Below are 425 nucleotides of genomic sequence, written 5' to 3'. Positions count from 1 at the left end.
AGACATTAACTTCCCATTATCACTTTTTTATGCTGACTGCTGACTGTGCTCAGGTGGCAAAAAGAAGTGGTAATTGGACAAAAATGTTCTAACCCTCATGGTAATTAAAAAAAAAAAAGTAGTGAAAGCAGCTTCCTCCTGAAGTCTCCATTGTGTAGTTAAGGCAAAATGTCACCAGGAACAATAAAGCAAAAATGGGGCCTTTCAAAATGATTGATCAGTACTTCAGGTCCCACTCATTGGTCATCTGACTTGGAATAAGCCACACTAATTCACAGCCTACTTTCCAAAGGCAATGTCCCCCATTGTGACCTCCAGTGGCACTTCTAGTCTGGATTTCACATCTTGTACCTGTAATGTTTCAAACGTACTTCATACTGAAGGAATATCTTTCTAATACTATGTGAAAAGTTTGTGATCAAAGA

The 425-nt window shown here is 38.6% G+C and overlaps 1 non-coding gene across 1 annotated transcript; it reads right to left on the bottom strand.

Annotated features, from left to right (window-relative positions):
- On the bottom strand, positions 1 to 87 carry MIR4275 (microRNA 4275). The gene has a single exon (NR_036237.1). It is a non-coding gene; the product is annotated as a microRNA 4275 (primary transcript).
- Between the last annotated feature and the right edge of the window lie 338 nt (positions 88 to 425).

The sequence above is a fragment of the Homo sapiens genome, chromosome 4 (assembly GCF_000001405.40).
Source record: "Homo sapiens chromosome 4, GRCh38.p14 Primary Assembly".
NCBI lineage: Eukaryota > Metazoa > Chordata > Mammalia > Primates > Hominidae > Homo > Homo sapiens.
This window is presented reverse-complemented; position numbering and strand designations above follow the sequence as displayed.